The sequence below is a fragment of the Homo sapiens genome, chromosome 9, assembly GCF_000001405.40.
Source record: "Homo sapiens chromosome 9, GRCh38.p14 Primary Assembly".
Taxonomy (NCBI): domain Eukaryota; kingdom Metazoa; phylum Chordata; class Mammalia; order Primates; family Hominidae; genus Homo; species Homo sapiens.
This window is the reverse complement of record NC_000009.12, coordinates 39,914,288-39,932,292: the sequence shown is the minus strand read 5'-3', so window position 1 is coordinate 39,932,292 and position 18,005 is coordinate 39,914,288. Positions and strand designations below refer to the sequence as shown.

General features: G+C 34.1%; 1 long non-coding RNA gene across 8 annotated transcripts in view; it reads right to left on the bottom strand.

The window, feature by feature from the left end:
- The window catches only part of LOC105376050 (uncharacterized), a 108,520-nt gene that overhangs the window by 71,813 nt on the left and 18,702 nt on the right, over nucleotides 1–18,005 (bottom strand). Inside the window, exon 1 of one of the 8 annotated variants that reach the window (XR_001746436.2) lies at nucleotides 7,371–7,593. The exons of 6 other annotated variants lie outside the window; for them this stretch is intronic. This is a non-coding gene — a long non-coding RNA (uncharacterized LOC105376050). Of the gene's footprint in view, nucleotides 1–1,820; nucleotides 2,337–7,370; nucleotides 7,594–18,005 lie in introns of those variants that run through there. One more of the 8 variants, XR_001746437.2, reaches the window with a different exon arrangement.

Here is an 18,005-nt window from a genome sequence, read left to right as displayed (position 1 = left end):
TGAACCTCTAACGTAATTAACAGTCTTCCCAAAATCAAACTTCAGTTTTAAAATTGTCTTTCCTGGTCCCTGGAACATCCAAAACAGAAGAAAACTGGGTTTTTTGAAATGTTTAGTTATATGGTATTTCCAAAGTTGTATTTAATCTGCTTTAGGTTATATTTTAGTGAATAATATTAATATGTTTCAAAATTATATGAGATTTCTAAAATTCTAATGTCTGAGTATATGCTATCAATCATAATTAAGGTTATTATGTTTAGTTATTGTAAACCCTAGAAATAACTAAATTTCTTTGTCAATTGTATTCTTGACAGTAACTACCCTGGACATTTCATCATTCACAGACAAATGTCTTGTTTTGATCCTACTCAAAAGATGATTTATAATCAGCTATAGGATTTTGACAAGTGTTCTCAAATGCAAGATTCCATTAACTCTGGAGATTATGACATTGAAAAAAATACAGTACTCATGAAGAACTGAAATGTTCATGAATATCAAGCAGAACAAGAGAACAGAATGGATTGAACTAATAGAAAACAAGTATTATTTTTAACCTTTTTGCTTAAAACTTTGGTGATCCTTGCTTTATTTTTCTGAGTCAAGGATACTTATTTTGACCTATTTAAAACCTTTAATAATTGAGTAAACTATACGCCTGTGAACAAAATTTGAAGGATGTTTGTTTCTCTCTGCCTGGCTTTGCCAGAATTTGGAAACTATTTGTGAGAATATTTAATTTATGGCAATTCAGTTATTTTCATCAGTGCAATAAGAATACATTTTCTTTTGCAACAGGACACAATTGAAGAAACTGGGGGTTTTACCAAGGCTTTTACTGGAAGGGTATATGTTCCTTTAAGTCATTAAGCTGGACTTGCCAATAAAAGTCCCTTGGGAAAACTGGCTACATACCTTGTCAACACAGTCCTTGTACAAGGTTCCTAACCCATGGGGAGTAAAGCATGTCACTTTTTAACAGGCTTAGGAGCCTGTTAAAAAGCTTGTTCTTGGGACATCAAGAAGAGAATGATTTACCAAACTTGTAGATATTTGAGGGTGGAAACCCTTGGCTGGGCTTGGCCTTAAAAGGTCTTAACTGAGATGCCTTATGGAACAGAGTTCCATCAAAGCCAATTTAAAAGCCTATGGGAAAAATAATTATTCTTTTTGCACTTTATGCAAATAAGACAAGTATAAGGCTAAAGTTTATTTTTTCAAACAACTGAGTCCTATCATGATTTGTTTTTGACAAAAATGAGGACTGGAGAGAGAGAAATTATGTTTCAAAACGTATTCTACATTTGTCATTACATTATAATCCCATTAGTTGTTTTTAAGTTTTTGCCTACATTTTAGACTACCCTGCTTGTTCCTGTGGACCAACCAGCAATGTACGGCTGCAGCTCAAAAGAACCAAAGGGACGAGTAATATAAAAAATCTGGATCAATATTTTAATTCTGAACAATTATCCTGCAAATCCTTCCAGGTGATCGGAGTAAATAGGTGCCCATAACCCAGAGATTTCTTTGTTTGGGAAAATAAGACCAAGGGAGCTAATCAAAGCCAAGCCCCATGAATACAAACCTTAGCAGGCATAACTATAGCCACGAGTTATCTGGCTGTATTGGCAGCCTTGAGATTTTGTTTTGTTTTGTTTTGTTTTGAGCTGTCCTTATCCCTTTGTTTCATTTTGAATATGTCTTCTAATAACCCTAATTGTTTCTTCTCACTTAAAGGCCGTTCAACATCAAATGGTGATGCAAACAGAACCACTCATGAACACACCGTTCTCTTTGGGGACCCTTAAACTGACCTCAGGAGGAGCCTTAACTGCCACTTTCCCAAAACAGCACCCCTTGTCAGCAGGAAGCAGTTAAGAGCAGTCGTTGTACACTTTCCCCAACAGAATTTGGGGTCTCCACTCCTGAAGGGAGGAATGAAAGGAGTCAGCCAACTTGCTTTAGGGAGACAGTCAGGAAAGGGTCCCCTGGAGAACCTCTTACCCACCCCCCAGGTGTTTATACCAAATATTTTGTGCGGATAAGCGTACTTGCTAAGGGAGCTTGCCTAAACATGCCCATAGTGGAAAATTTCGTTCCTTAACATATGTGCATTAAAGGAAATAAATCAATATGGAGAGGCACAGACTAAGGGCCCACATAACTCACTGGAAAGGTGGAGTGGAGCAACCAGGAATTCATGTCTCATACAACCAGGAATTCACAGCCCTATCAGCTTGTATAAAAATGTCCTTGTTGCCGGGTGCAGTAGCTCACACCTGTAATCCGAACACTTCGGGAGGCAGAGGCGGGCAGATCACTAGAGCAGGAGTTGGAGACCAGCCTGACCAACATGGTAAATCCCATCTCTACTAAAACTACAAAAATTATCCGGGCCTGGTGACATGTGCCAATAATCCCAGCTACTCAGGAGGCTGAGGCAGGAGAATCACTTGAACCTGGAAGGCAGAGGGTATAGTGAGCCAAGATCACGCCATTGCACTCCAGCCTTGGCAACAGAGTGAGGCTCTGTCTCAAGAAAAAAAATGCCCTTGTATTCAACTGTTAAGGGGGCAACCAAGAACTTGATGTCAGGACCCCTCTCTTTGCTGAGAGCTTTCCTTTCACTAAATAAATTCTACTACACTTACTCTTTGAGCGTCCATGTGCCTACTTCTTCAGAACTTAGGCCTAGCTGGGCTAAGGAGCAAAAAACCCTGCATCGTATCTCAAACTCAACCTTTAAGTTTTTGTCCTACTAGTCTCCTTCACATTTTGCAATACATTAAAATTGCTTCAAGGTTTTTTCAAAATGTGTTTTTGGTAATTCTGCTAATTTATGCTGTTTAAAACATCCTGGCTGAATGATTTCAAATAAATTTTATAACATCTATTTCCATTTTTTTTTCACTCAGTACATATGAATCCACTGTTTAATCCAAATTTAAAGTAACAATCATTAAAGTAAATTAAAATGGAGTCCAGGCCTGAAGAATTTCTGAGCAGACAAAACCAGTTAGGCATCATAAGTGATCTAAACCTTGTTTGATCTACAGATATAAGGGAAACTTGAGCTATTATCAATTTCTATATTAAAGAAAAACAGAACTTAAGTTCAACCAATCAGAAGTAGCCAACACACATAATCATACAACTGAAGACTTTCCAGTGGGATAGACCTAATAACGTACAACTTTGGTACCAAATAAGGTACAAATAACTGTACAACTATAAATAGTCAAATATTATCTTTAGTTTTCTTCTGTGCCTGTCCTCTAAAAGCCTCCCCCTGTGATCCCTCAGTGGTGCTCTTAAGCCACTTTTATGGTTTGGAGCTGCCTGAGTCATAAATCATTGTGTAAATAACATATTTAAAATTTTATTGTGTCTTAGTTTATCTTTTAACACAGTGGTCCTCAACCCTTGGTTATGAGCTATGGCTTGTTAGGAATCAGATCATACAGCAGGAGGTGAGCGGCAGGTGAGTGAGCATTACCACCTGAGCTCTGCCTCCTGTCGAATCAGCTACAGCATTAGATTCTTATAGGAATGTGAACCCTATTATGAACTGAGCATGCAAGGGATCTAGGTTGTGCATACCTCATGAGAATCTAATGCCCGATGATCTGAGGTGGAACAGTTTCATGCCTGTATTAGTCAGGGTTCTCCAGAGGGACAGAACTTATAAGATATATGTATATATGAAAAGGAGTTTATTAATGAGAATTGACTATATGATCACAAGGTGAAGTCCCATGATAGGCTGTCTGCAAGCTGAGGGGCAAGGAAGCCAACAAAGGCTTAGTTCAGCTACAAAAGCCTCAAAAGTAGGAAAGCTGGCAGTGCAACATTTAGTCTGTGGCCAAGGGCCTGAAAGCCCCTGGAAAACCACTGCTGTAAGTTCAAGTGTTCAAAGCCTAAAGAACCTGGAATCTGATGTCCAAGGGCAGGAAGCATCCAGCACAGCGCAATGATGAAAGCCAGAAGACTCATTAAGTCAGCTTATCCCACCTTCTTCCACCAGCTTTGTTCTAGCCAAGCTGACAGTCAATTGGATGGTGTCCACCCACATTGAAGATCGGTCTTCCTCTCCCAGTCCGACTCAAATGTTAATCTCCTCCAGCAACACCCTCACTGACACACCCAGAAACTATTCTTTACCAATTATCTAGGCATCCTTCAATCCAATTAAGTTGACACCTATTATTAACCATTACAATCCTGAAACCATCCTCTGCTCCCCTGTCCGTGGAAATATTGTCTTCCACAAAACCAGTCCCTGGTGCCACAAAGGTTGGGGACTACATAGAACTCAATGAAATGAGAAGTAGTTTCTGATTCAGCTAATGTCTGTTAAGTGATTCTCTCTATAGATCCAAGTATTATGAGCAACCTCACACAATCACATTCATGAGATTTCTATTACTCTGTGTGTTGGACTTCAAGGAAGGAATGGAATGCCATCATTAGGCACCAAATACTTCCACTATTGATTAGCATTGAGATTTTTAGTAAATATTTAGGAGTACTGGGGGATGAAGGAGAGACAACACTATTTATTCTTGTACTAGAATACTCATTTCTAATGCCTATAATTAAATCAATAGGAAAGTTATGGAGAAAATCTGGGCATTTTGAGATAGTTGAAGAGTAAGTATTCCATATGTATGTCAGTTGAAAATTATTTTTGCTATTTGCTTTTGAAAGAATATAACAATGTTAGCAAATGAACAAGGTAATTCCTGGCTGAATTATATAATTATTTACAGTACTCCCAAAGATATTAATCTATTACCATTATATGTAATTCATGGGGAATGATATTAAACAATAGATAAAATATCAAGTTAATGTGTTTCAGGACATCACTCACAGCATAATGAAAAACTGACTTACTTCTGTATTTCAATAGCTTCAATACTCATTCAACATTACTGTGCATTACAAATCTATTGGTAAATTGCTTGCAAAAATAAGACTGAAAACAATTTTAAATTAAGTGTACAAATTTTTCTCTTTTTCTTTTGAAATAATTAATATTTTATTTTATTACTATAGTTTCCTTTAACTCTATAATTTGAACTGAGATGTTTGGAGAAAAAGTATTTTTAAAAGAATTTATAACAATAAGAATAACTGTTAGAATGCCAGTCCTATCAAGAAATGTTAGAAATATATAAGCAAAACTCAAAAGTAAATATCACTGTCTGTCTAACCATATTCCATGCATAGCTTCTACTACTGTTCCCCAGAATTGTCTGTTTTATCATTTCTCTTGACTTTTGATACATTTATTCATATATCCTCCATCCTCACTTAGTCCCTACTGTTTGTACTTCGGCATCATATCAACCCTATCTTGCCACTTAAAAGACAAAGTAATACTACTTTTTCAGTTTTTTTTCATTTAATGTAAGAAGTTATCATTTCCCCAATAGTGAAATGATGCAAAATGATTATTTGATGTATTGTCCAAATGGGTTCAGGTTTGTGACAGTCTCAAACACATCAGGGAGTAGGGACACCCTTCAGTTAAAGCACAAAGTTGTATTTTAATCTGTATTTTACTTTTAAAAAAGATTTTTTCTCAATATCACATAAACATCAAGCTCTTTATTTTACCTCTCTATTTACTTATTTACACGATTTAAGATTGAACATTTTTCATTATCAAAATTATTTTCAAAATATGTGTAAAATTGTTGAAATCTTAATTTTTCCAAAATGACAGCTGACTCCTCTTAAAGGTAATGGGAATCTTAGAATGTTATTTGCAAGTCAGTCTACAGCATTCTTTTCATATATAAAATGTTGTGTACTAATTTTTGAAATATTTGTAAATTAAATAGGTCATTTTTCTTTCAGGAGAAAGGAGACTTTGAGAAATTTTTGTGCAGGAGAAGAGTAGTTTTAAAAATAGGTAGTTTGCAATAGGGCAGACTAGTTTTAAAACTCTAAAATGAGAGCAAGTCAATAAGAGTCTCGATTAAATCTAGTGATCTTATTATTTATTTATTAATTGACATGTAATAATTGTACATATTCATGGGGTATAATTTCATACCTGGATACCTATCCATGTTGTATAATGATCCATTCAGAGTGAATCTATTATCTTACATATTTATCATTTCTTTGTGGTGAGAACATTCGAAGACAACTCTTCAAGCTATTTTGTAATATACGATATTTCACTGTTAACCATACTTACTCTACGTGCAACACAACACCAGAATTTTTTGCTCTTATCTAGTTGTAATTTTATACCACCAATCAAAGTTTCCTCATCCTTCTTTTCGTCCTCCTGTCTTTAGTCTCTGGTAACATTTTTCTACTCTCTGCTTCTATGCTATTAACTTTTTTAAATGTTTGTATTTTCTTTTTTTTTTAGACTCCACTTATGAGTGAGATCATGCTGTACTTGTCTGTCTGTGTCTGGCTTATTTCACTTACCATGATGTCCTCTAGATTCATCCATATTGTCATAAATGGCAAGATTTTATTTTTTATGGCTAAAGAGTACTTCATTGTATACAGATAGTGCATTTTCTTTTTGCATTCATCTGTTGCCAGACACTTAGGCTTATTCTGTATCTTGGCTATCATACATAGTGCTGCAATAAAAATGACTAGGTGCATTGCAATTAGCTTTAAAAAGATGGAACGGCATTGTAAGGACAGACCATGAATCTAAGCCCTTAGGTTGAATACTTAGGTTGAATAAAATTGTTGGAAGAAGTGGCTATTTGATGTATGTAATGAAAGGGATTCTTACTTGGCAGGTATTATTAGGAGAAAAAAAAAGGGAGAGAAAGTTGAAGGAGAGGGGAAAACTGCCACAGCAGGTTAAGCAACTTGCTTTAAAATAATTGGGATTAGTAAGTGTGCAAAGATAGAACTGGTGATGAAAGAGTGAGACTGGAATTAGGAATTAATTTGTAATACTAATGTTGCAGGTTGGGTCCTGGTTATGAGATTAAGTGGATGCTCATTCTTTGGAGCTATAACTGACCAGTGCCACATTAACAGATTTGGAAAATATGAGATTAACTATGAAGGTACAGAAAATAAAGGTATTAAAATTCTTTCTATATTTTAGATCTAATTGTTAATAATATAGTATATACACATCCATACTATATTATATATGTATATTACATATATAATAACATATATATGTGAAAAGCTATGGTAAATAGAAAACATTAGCTGGGCATGGTGGCTTATGCCTATAATCCCAGCACTTTGGGAGTTGGAGGCAGGAGGATACTTGAGCCCAGGGATCTGAGACTAGCCTGGGTAATATGGCAAGACCATGTCTCTACAAAAAGTAAAGAAAAGTAGCTGGGCCTGGTGGCACACACCTGTCATCAAAGCTACTCTGGAGGCTGAAGTGTGAGGATCACTTGAATTCAAGAGGTCAAGGCTGTAGTGAGCTGTGTTCCAGCCACTGCACTCCAGCCTGGGTGAGAGCACAAGACCCTGTCTAAAAAAAAGCAAAAGAAAAAAGAAACATTATTGAGGAGAAGAGATAAATAGAGTCTTAGAAATTTGAATTGATACATGAGTAAAGAATGACCCAATTATTTTTTACCGGGAATGGGAAAATAAATTTTATTCAAGTCCACAATATAGTTTTTAAAGCATAGACAATATAATACAGGGGTTGGGGGCGTGGTTACAACAATGTTAGAAACACTGAAAGAGCAAAAGGGGCCTGCTACTCCAGATGATGAGCAAATGAAGGAAGCCACTTCCATCCTTAACTGTGAAAAATGAGTAGGGGAAGGTGGTGCATTCTGGGTCCCATGATTCCAGACTGACCATTGGCCCTATTTGAGCGCAGCTGCCATTAGGCAGAAACTCTGGACTCCAAACTCTCAGTAAAACTTCTGAAGACACTGCTGTTGCTATTGCAGCTGTCAGCACCATTGATTCAGCTGAGAAGCAGCACAGAATATCACACTGACACCCACGCTGTTGGTTGTGTTTTTTTGAACCAGATTGAAATTAATATCTATTGTATGGTTCAATTTCTATGAAGTTCAATGTCAAGCAAATGTAATTTATAAAGATAAAAGTAAGAACAGTGGTTGCCTATAGTAATGATTGGAGGTTCACTATAGAGACTCCTGGATTCTAGTAATACTCAATTCATATTCATGTAGGTTGTGATGACATTAGTATTTTACGTTCTAAAAATGTTTAATGCTATATGCTCAAGATCTGTGTCTTTCACATGTGCATATCATATTTCATATTTCAATTAATAAATCAGTAATAAAAGTTCCAGTTCAGGATACAATACTGTAGAACAATCCAAAATATTAATTTATTCCTAAAGTTTTAAAAATATTAGAATAAATACGGAGCATTTTGTTAAAACAGTATGGTAAACCTAAATGTAAAAAAAAATTAAATTGAGTTAGGAATTTCAAAAAGACATTTCATGTGCCTTTTTAACTTTCAATTTCATATGAAAGTTGAAAAAACTTGAAATCAGTTAAGTGTGCATGTGTATGTAAAACAAAATTACTGCATATAAAAACTTTTTTGAGGCATCTAGAAAATATTTAGCAGTGTGCCATAGTTTAGAGGCATTTTAAAATGCTTTTTAGTGGTACATAAAAAATTAATTAATGACAGAGTCTATGAAAAACAAGTAGAGCAGCTTGAAATAATTCACATATTTTTCATGTAAAAGTTTTAGGAGAAGTCCAGTGATGTCACGATAGCTCTACGATGTTGATTTATTTTGTCGCTTTTATATGCTTATTTTATATACAAAATAGCTGAAAACAGCTATGAATTCTAAAGCATGGTAACAGGGGTAAAAGGTCACACACATTTCTTTTAGATGCTGCAAATATTGCTTCTGTTCACACGTTATCGTCCAAAAATTAGTTACATTGACTCATCAAAGTGCAAAGAGGCTGGTAAATGTACTTTAATTTGCTAAATGCCTTGCAAGATATAGGGATGTATATTGAGAAGACAAAGAATGGAAGTGAGAATTACTTGTTATTTTGACTTCCAACTATTGGAGAACATTCCCAAAGAAATATTATACTAAATTTCTGCCTGAATAATTATTTCAGCATCTCTTTCATGGTCTTTGCTTAAGGGCAGTGCTTCCAGCTGAGGCTGCATACAGTCTCATATTCCATAGACTAACTGTCTAGGGTAATTCAGACTTATAACCTAAGTTTATGTTACAGCTTTTCTAACTTATGTTCCTTTGATGGAGTTTATCCTCATTGCCCCACCCCCCAAATGGTTTACTAATAAAGTATAGTCTAAAACAGAAACATTATTCTTTTTATATTCTTTAATCTCCATTGAAATAAACACAATTTGTAGAATTATTAACTAATACAAATTAATTGAAAAGAAGCATCTTTCTTTTATATGAACAATGACATAGTTCAAATTTATCTTGAAAACAGTTTTAAGCACAAGTAATTACGCTGAATATGTAAATAACCCATTTATAAGTAGGTCAATAGGAAAACATTTCAACAAATTTCAAACTTGATATCATTTCTAGATCTTATGAAATAATGGAACATGTTTTGGAAGGTAAGAGAAGTTTACTTAGCCAATAATAACAGGTCTCAATCAATTATTTTTTAACAGCTAGTTTATCCCTGGATATACCTTACTATATCCTGTTTTTAGATATGGCATTTGAAAACCTCCAAGAATATAGATATAATTTTAATTGAGCTATTATGGTTAGTATTTATTTTTAAAGTTCTGAATTTTTTTAAAAAATTCAATTTCTATGGTATATTAACAAGATTGATTGGAATAATGCATTTTTTTAATGTGGTGGGTTGGTGATATGTTTTTCTTCTGAGAAAGAAGGCTGTTCATAATCTTAAATTATATTAGGTTTTAGAAACAACAAAAATTGTGGGATTCCCTTAATGGCTTTCTTGCACTTGAGTTCTAAAATATTTATCAATCTCAAATATATTTTGCATTATGTTGAAAAATGACTATTAATAGTTTCTGCTAAAAGGAATTATCAACTTTTTATGCATCACCATTTCAGAGTTGGGCTTATAAAAATATCAGTATCTGTCCTACATATATACCAATGTTTTTCAATTTTTAGTCAATTAAATATGTTTCATTGATTTTCTGCTGTGTGCCTAAAATTGTGCATGATGATATTATAGAAGGTACTGTGAAAAGGCTTAAAGCAGTATATTTAACCACTGCCTACCAGAGTAGTACATAGAGAAGCAAACCTAATCTATAAGCAACAATGAGAGCGTGCTACAGATAACTTTTAATATTGTAAATATATATGATACAGACGATAAAATCTTTATGAAATAATCTATAGGAGAGGTGAAATGGGTCTCTGCCAGGAGAATGCAAAGGCAGTAAAAAATTAAAAACCAAAATATTGAGAATTATTTTGAGGAAAGTGTTAGTAGAATTTAATAATACATTTAATAGAAACATAAGATTAAAAATGCAAAGATGAATTCAAAGTTGCTTACATTCAAAAATAACTCATTAAATGTACAGTATTTTAAGCACACTTTTGATCTATGAAGAGTATAAATATGAATAAGACATAGTTCTTTAGGCTAGACATAGAGAATATTTTTTGTGCAGAAATAAAATCTAGAGTATGTAATATTAGGGGAAAGAAAATGCCTCATAGATGTCAATAAACCTTGTTCCCTCTATTTTTTTTTTACTGGTTTCATTTCCTGTAATAATTGTGGTAACAGTAATGCTGAAAAAATTAAACCTCCAACTCTTAAAACAATAAAAGTTATTGCTTGCTTAAATAATAGGAATGCTATCTGTGATTTCCTGCAGGGTCATTCAAAGATTTATTATTTTCCCATCTGTGGTTTTGCCATCCTCAATACATAGCTCTTGGGGGTTTTCTGTGGATTGTTTTAATGTTAGCCAACCAGAGAGAATAAAAAGAGTGTTAAAAATTATTAATTCTGGGTCTATGTGACCCTGTAAGAAGGCTACATCACTACTATATACTTAGAACCTAAATTTCTATGCCAAAATATAGGCGAATATAGCAAATATTGTCCAAATTTACAAGGAAAGAGAAAATGAATTGTGTGTTCATCTTACAGTTTCTAATAAAATCCCCAACATTGAACTTAAATGACTCTCCAGTTGTTCATTAGGAGCATATGCTGTTGGTTGACTGCCAGCATACATTATCTCACCTTTTCTTTCTAAAATAGAACATATTCAATATATCCAAGGCTTCCAAGGCTTCAGTACTTCTCTAAGTTTACTGTCTCGTCTTCAGATTCAGGTATGATGTGATTACTCTAAGTATAGCCTGATTCTTTGCCAAAAATAAGAACAAAAATACGCATATGGCCCAATTCAGTACAAAGGCAAATCAGGGCAAATTACCTTAAGAGTTTTTAAGATAAATGTTTCTCTTGGTGTCTCTTTCTTGGTCTTCTGGGTAAGGTTGTATCTGAATATGATGACCCTAAATGTCTGCAGACATTTTTGCAGAAATGTTAAGGGTAAAAGTGACACAGCCAATAGCAAAGAAGTGCCAGAAAATACGTAAGCAAACTGTGACCTCTTTTTACCTCTTGATTGACTTTTATGTTAAATAATGAATTTACCTTATGCTTGAAAGAATTTGAAATAGTATTTGGCAGTGAAGAATTTACTCCTCCCATATTTTCATTCAAGAGAAATTTCCATGAGGAGGGTTGTTGGTGGGTTACCTCCAACTCAACCACTTCAGAGCTACTACAGTGGTAATGCATGTTGAAGAAAAGAGTCAAACTCTGTGAAATATTTGAAGAGATTTATTCTGAGGCAAATATGAGTGACCTCGGCCTGTCACACAGCCCAGGAGATCCTAAGAACATGTGCCAAGGTTGTTGGGCTACAGCTTGGATTTATACATGTGAGGGAGACATAAGACATCAATCAGTACACCTAAGATACACATTGGTAAAATTGGGAAAGGTGAGACAACTCAAAGCAGGTGGGGGTGGGGTGGGTGAAGGCTTCCATGTTAAAGGTGAATTCGAAGATTTTCTGATTGGCATTTGACAACTGGCTAAAATAATTTATCTAAAGACCGGAATCAATAGACAGGAGTGTATGGGTTAAGATAAGGTGTTTTAGAGACCAAGGTTCTTATGCAGATGAAGCTTGCAGGTAGCAGGCTTCACTGAGAATAGATTGTAAATGATTTTTATCAGACATAAAAAGGAAAAAGGACTTGGAATCAGGAAAAATCAGGAAAAAGACTTGGAAAGAGAAGGGGATTCTCTACAAAATGGAGATTTTCCCCACAGAAACAGCCTTGTAGGGCCATTTCAAAATATGTCAAAGAAATGTATTTTTGTGGTGAAATACTTTGATTTCTTTCAAGGCCTGCTATCTGTCATGTTGATATCTTATTGCTACGAAGAGTCTGTTTTGTCATTCTTAAGTCTCTACTTTAATGTTAACACTGTTCAGCTATGCATGAATTCCGAAAGGATGAAAGTAAATAACGAAGCATGTTCAACCACCCATTTCCATCATGGCCATTACTGTTTCAGGTTTAGTTTAAAATGCCCTTGGCCAAGATAAAGGGCCCATTTAGTTGGTTAACGGACATTGAATTTTATTTTTGGCTTACATGCAGGTGCCATGCTCTCCTTAGGTTGCTCCCTGCCAATGCTGAGCAAGGAAGATATTATAGGGCTTTTCATTCTTGTCCCACATGGACTCATCTAAAGGTCAAAGTTCACTTTGGTGCTCTTTCAGTGTGGCTGACAATTTCTCAGATCTGCACTCTTCTCTGAGGCTCCTCCTTTCCAATTATCTTTCATGCTCTCTCTTCTTTTGAGGTGCCGGCTTGCATCATGATCTGGAGGCTCTTGCAGCCTCTTGCTCTATCTTCTCTTTATTCTTCAAAGGCGTTTTCTCTGGTTACTCTCTTATACGTGTAATTCCATCTTGGTGTCTGATTCTTGGGAAACCCAAACTGGCTTATAATTTTTCTTACTTTCAGTAAAACCTTCTTTGCTGATGCATCATTCATTAATTCATTAAATGTATTGTGTTTTGTATGGGAAAACAATGATGCCAAAGTGTCTATAGCTATATAGTCTGATATATGCTATAATAAGAATTTGGAAAAAGTATTATTGGTTCACAAAGGCAGAAATTTAGGAGGTTAGATACATTTAAAGTAAAATTTGATTAAAAAGTGTGAACTTAAATAGATTAAGATAACATGGGGTGTTTGTAAAATATATTAGTAAAATACAATGACATACCCAAAGTCCTGTTAAATCAAATTAAATATGGCCTGAGAAAAACGCCATACTTCTATATTTCAGTCCTTGTGAATGAACTGCAACCTAACTCAATAGGTACACAAGACTAAAACCTAACTTAGGAATATGCGCCTGTAACAATCGCTGAGTCTTGGCCAATTCCAGCAGCCATACTTCAACTAGTCGCATACAGCTGAGTGTTCAAATAAGGCAAGTGCCAAGCCATAACCAATCCAGCTGTTTCTGTACCTCACTTCTGATTTCTATGGGTCACTTTACTTTGTATTGTCTATAAATTCATTCTGACCATGAGACACCCCTGGAGTCTCTCTGAATCTGCTGTGATTGTGGGGGCTTTCCAATTTATGAATCATTCATTACTCGATTAAACTGTAAATCTATTTTGGCTGAAGGTTTTTTTTGTTTTGTTTTGTTTTTTTTAGCAGTCCTCACCATAATGATCCATACACGTAAGTGTCTAATATAATCTTTCTAGCTTTCTTTTTTGGTTGTGTTTAGTCATACTGTTGCTGATTCAGCTTTGTATAAAATGTCAGAGCAAAATGACTATCAATAATACAGAGATCTGCAAGAATTCCCACACAGGTGAAATATGCATGGTGGAAAGAGGCAATTCTTAAGGCAAAGAGCCAAGCATGTACCAAACACCAATGCCCTTGCATACCAAAGCTAAAGATTCTACAATTTGCCAAAGATAAGAATGTACCTTTCACAACAGCAAGGACCTCATATATTGTCTTATTATATATCCCTAAAATCTAGCACAGTGTTGAATAAGAGGAAGTAGAAATAATTTTGAGAAGGAATTAAACATGTATTTGTAGAAGTCAAGTCTTACCCATTGAAAAAATATCTCCCCCATATTTGTAATTCATTAAATTGTTTGGAAGGGAAAAGAAACTAAAGGGAATACTCCATAGAGAAAGTTGTTTCAGAAATTATGTAAATTTATTCTAATAACTAAGAAATAGTGAAAATGTATTAGAAAGGTTAGGTAGAGGCACATTTCAGATTTAGACTAAGGTGCAAATGGCTTTCTACTTAATGATAGAGAAAAGCATAAATAAAAGTACATTGTATACATGAAATGGTTTTGTTTGAATTGGGTATAGAATATCAAATGAGAAATATATAGTAAGGAATTGAATATATGGAAATACAGATATAGACGGCCAGAGCACCTACTTGTAGCTCTTGATAGCAGAATTATCAGTCAACTGAAAAGATATTTTAAGACCTCCAAGAATAAGTAGATAATTTCTATTCTGTATTTTGTTAATGAAAGAAAACTAGGGTAATAACTGCTTGAATTTTCATCACTAGCATGTTTCCTACATACATAAACATAGTGAGTAGTGAGTATATTCACATATAAAGTAACAAAGAATTATAGTAAACCCCAACATCCAATCGGGAAAAATGTTGTAACTCTATATATTCATTAAATTGTTCACAAACTGACATCTTTTAGCATATAATATGGTTTCCTTTAGCTTGTTAAAGAGCATGGACTCATGACTAAAACATAAGAACACCCAATGAAGTTCAACTAAATCAATTCAACTATGAAAAATAAACTGACTAGTGATCATCTCTTTATTATTATTGAAAGAATAACTTACAAGTAAAAACATTCAATTTTTGAAAACAGCTTTATATTTATTGAATTTATGCATATAACGTTAGTTGCGTTTCAAAATAAAATGGCTGCCTTAAAAGTCATGCAAAATTACATATTTATACATTCTCTGAATTAAGCAGGATTAATTGAAAAGTGGTTATGAAGGCATGACTGCAAGCTACAAATTGAGCCTATTTTTAGTAACTTGCTCTAGCTGAGATGTTATATGTTCAGATTTGTTGACACGAAGCTTTATTGAGAAGCATTACTTATTCCCAATAACTCAAGGAGGAGCCTGTTTTGGGAGGAAAAACCACATCAAGTATGTTTTGTTGAATCAAGAGGATTTTATTTTTAGAAAACTACTAATGATTTTTTCTGAAAACGTGACTATTTTGAAATCTAAAAAAATCAAATATTTGATACTTAACATAATTTGCAACTTGACATAAAACTACTCAGTTTAGTTGGTCATAATATACTCATTCCTAACTTATTCCACTTTACAAAAAAAGTAAAAGAAAAGCATAAATAAATAAGTAAGGAAAGAGAAACAAACAAACAAAAAACATTGGAAACGGACTAGGTAAAAATTTATAGAATCAAGGATTAATTTCCACCAATTATGGCATGAATAAAACCAATCAACTAAAATATATTTTAAAAATCAAGAAGACAGTAGGAAAACAGCCTCTGAGGACCCCTGGAACAGTAATTAGGTGGGCACTCTGTTGGACATTACCATTTTCTTTAATGTTTGTATGAAACGACGCCAATTTATCTTTAAACAATTTATCTTTAAGTTGCTAAGGTGATGCAAACAGCTGTCATGTAACAATCACCAAGAGAGGACCCATTCTAGTTCACAAACTGCCCTGATGCTTTTTATAAAAAACAATCCACTTCAGGATAATGTGTTGTTCCTGGTTTCTATGTCTCTTTAACTTCTTTAAATCAGAAGCATTCCATAGTCCTTCTTCACCCTTCATAGCATCCTAAACATTTTTTGAAGGTAATATTCCAATGGATTCTATTTTTAGAATGTCTCCCAATTTCGATTTGTCTGGTGTTTTCTCATAATGAGGTGTCAAGACATGCATTATTGGCAATAAAATCACCAACATGGTGCTATGCTCTTCTTATCATATTTCTTCAGGTTATATATGAAATTAATTTTTCCCATCAGTGGTGATTTTAATTTTGATCATTTGAAAGGTAATGTCTTCCAGATTTCTCTATTGCAGAGGTACTCCTCATTTTCTTTATATTAATATAACATGACATGAAATGATATTTTATATATAGACTATCTATTGTATACATGTATATATACATGTAATTAATCTAAAATTAAGTGTTTTGTGGAGAGATACATTTCTTCTCCAACATTTACCCACTAGGTTTAGCATCCATTGATGCCTCAACACTCAATCAAATTACAATGTGAAGATTTTCAAATGATAATTTTTTAACATACAATATCAACCCTTTTCCTTTTATTGGTTGGCACTCTGTGGGAAAATAATAGTGTTTCCTTCTTTTATTCATTCATTAATTCATGGGTTTATCTCACGTGGACCCATGGATTCCTATTTCTTTCAGTGGCCCATGATCTGTTCCTTTACTTATTTTATTGATTCAGTTTTGCTATTTTTGCTAGTAGGAACTATTCAAGTTTCTCAGCTCTTTTAACATGCCTTCCTTAGCATTTGAGCACTCCCTTATTTTCCTTGTTTTTTTTTTTAAATCTCAGATTATGAATGGTCATTGCAAATCTATCAAAATATAATGGATTTCTGTATATTATTATTATATCCTGTGATCTAGATAAACACACAATTTTACTAACTTTTTTGCAAATATCTTTTTTATTTTCTGCACAGAATATAATAATATCTGTGAAGAAAGACATTTTTCTTTCTAAATTGTATGTATTCTTACCTCTCTCAATGCATTGCTAAGACGTGTAGTATAAGCTTCAAAAGAATTTATCAGAGCAAGCATGCTTGTCTTTTTCTAGGTATCAGGGCAAAAATATTCAGTCACCTTAATGTTATTGGAAAGTTAAGGTACATAGTATAAACCTTAGAGCACCTAACAGGACAAAATAAACAAAAACATATGACTAATAATCTTATTAATTGAAATAAAATAAAATTCAAAATTAAACACTTAATCCAAGATAAAGCATCAAAAGTGGAAAATAGTAATAAAGAACAGATTAAATTTTATGGAAAATAAATTTTATGATAGTAGATTTAAGGCCAAAATATAGATAACAATATTAAATATAAGTAGTCTAAAACTACTATTTAAAGTAAGAATTTTAAGACTAAATTTAAAAAGTAATGTTAAATCAATATAAAGACAAAGATTGGTCAGAAAAAATAGGTTGAAGATAGCTGTACTTCACCATGATACAGTAAGAGGAACTAAACTAAATTCTTTACAAAACAAACAAACAAAAAACAAAAACACACACACACAAATAAAAACTAACTGCAGACAAAATATAATCAACAGTGATTTTTTAACCATTGACAAGAAGCTGAGGATGCTGATCCCTGACAAAAGAAAAAATAAAATCTGACTTATCCCAAGCTTTCTCTCAGTTTCCAGAAAACACAGTGAAAGGATAATCCAAAGAAAGGATAACTCTCCCTGTATATTGAGAAATTGAAGATTGGGGCTTAGAAAGGAAAATTTAGCTAGAATTGCAGAGGTAAATAGAAGAGAGAGAGCATTTGCACAGAGATGGTGATATGGTATGGCTTTGTCCCCACCCACATCTCATCTTGAATTCCCATGTGTTGTGGGAGGGACCAGGTGGGAGATAATTGAATCATGGTGGCAGGCCATCCCATCCTCATGATAGTGAATAAGTCCCACAAGATCTTATGGTTAAAGAAGAGGGAGTTTTTCTGAACAAGCTCTCTCTTTGCCTGCCGCCATCCATGTAAGATGTGACTTGCTCTTCCTGGCCATCTGCCATGATTGTGAGGTTTTCCCAGCCATGTGGAAACATAAGTCCATTAAACCTCTTTCTTTTGTAAATTTCCCAG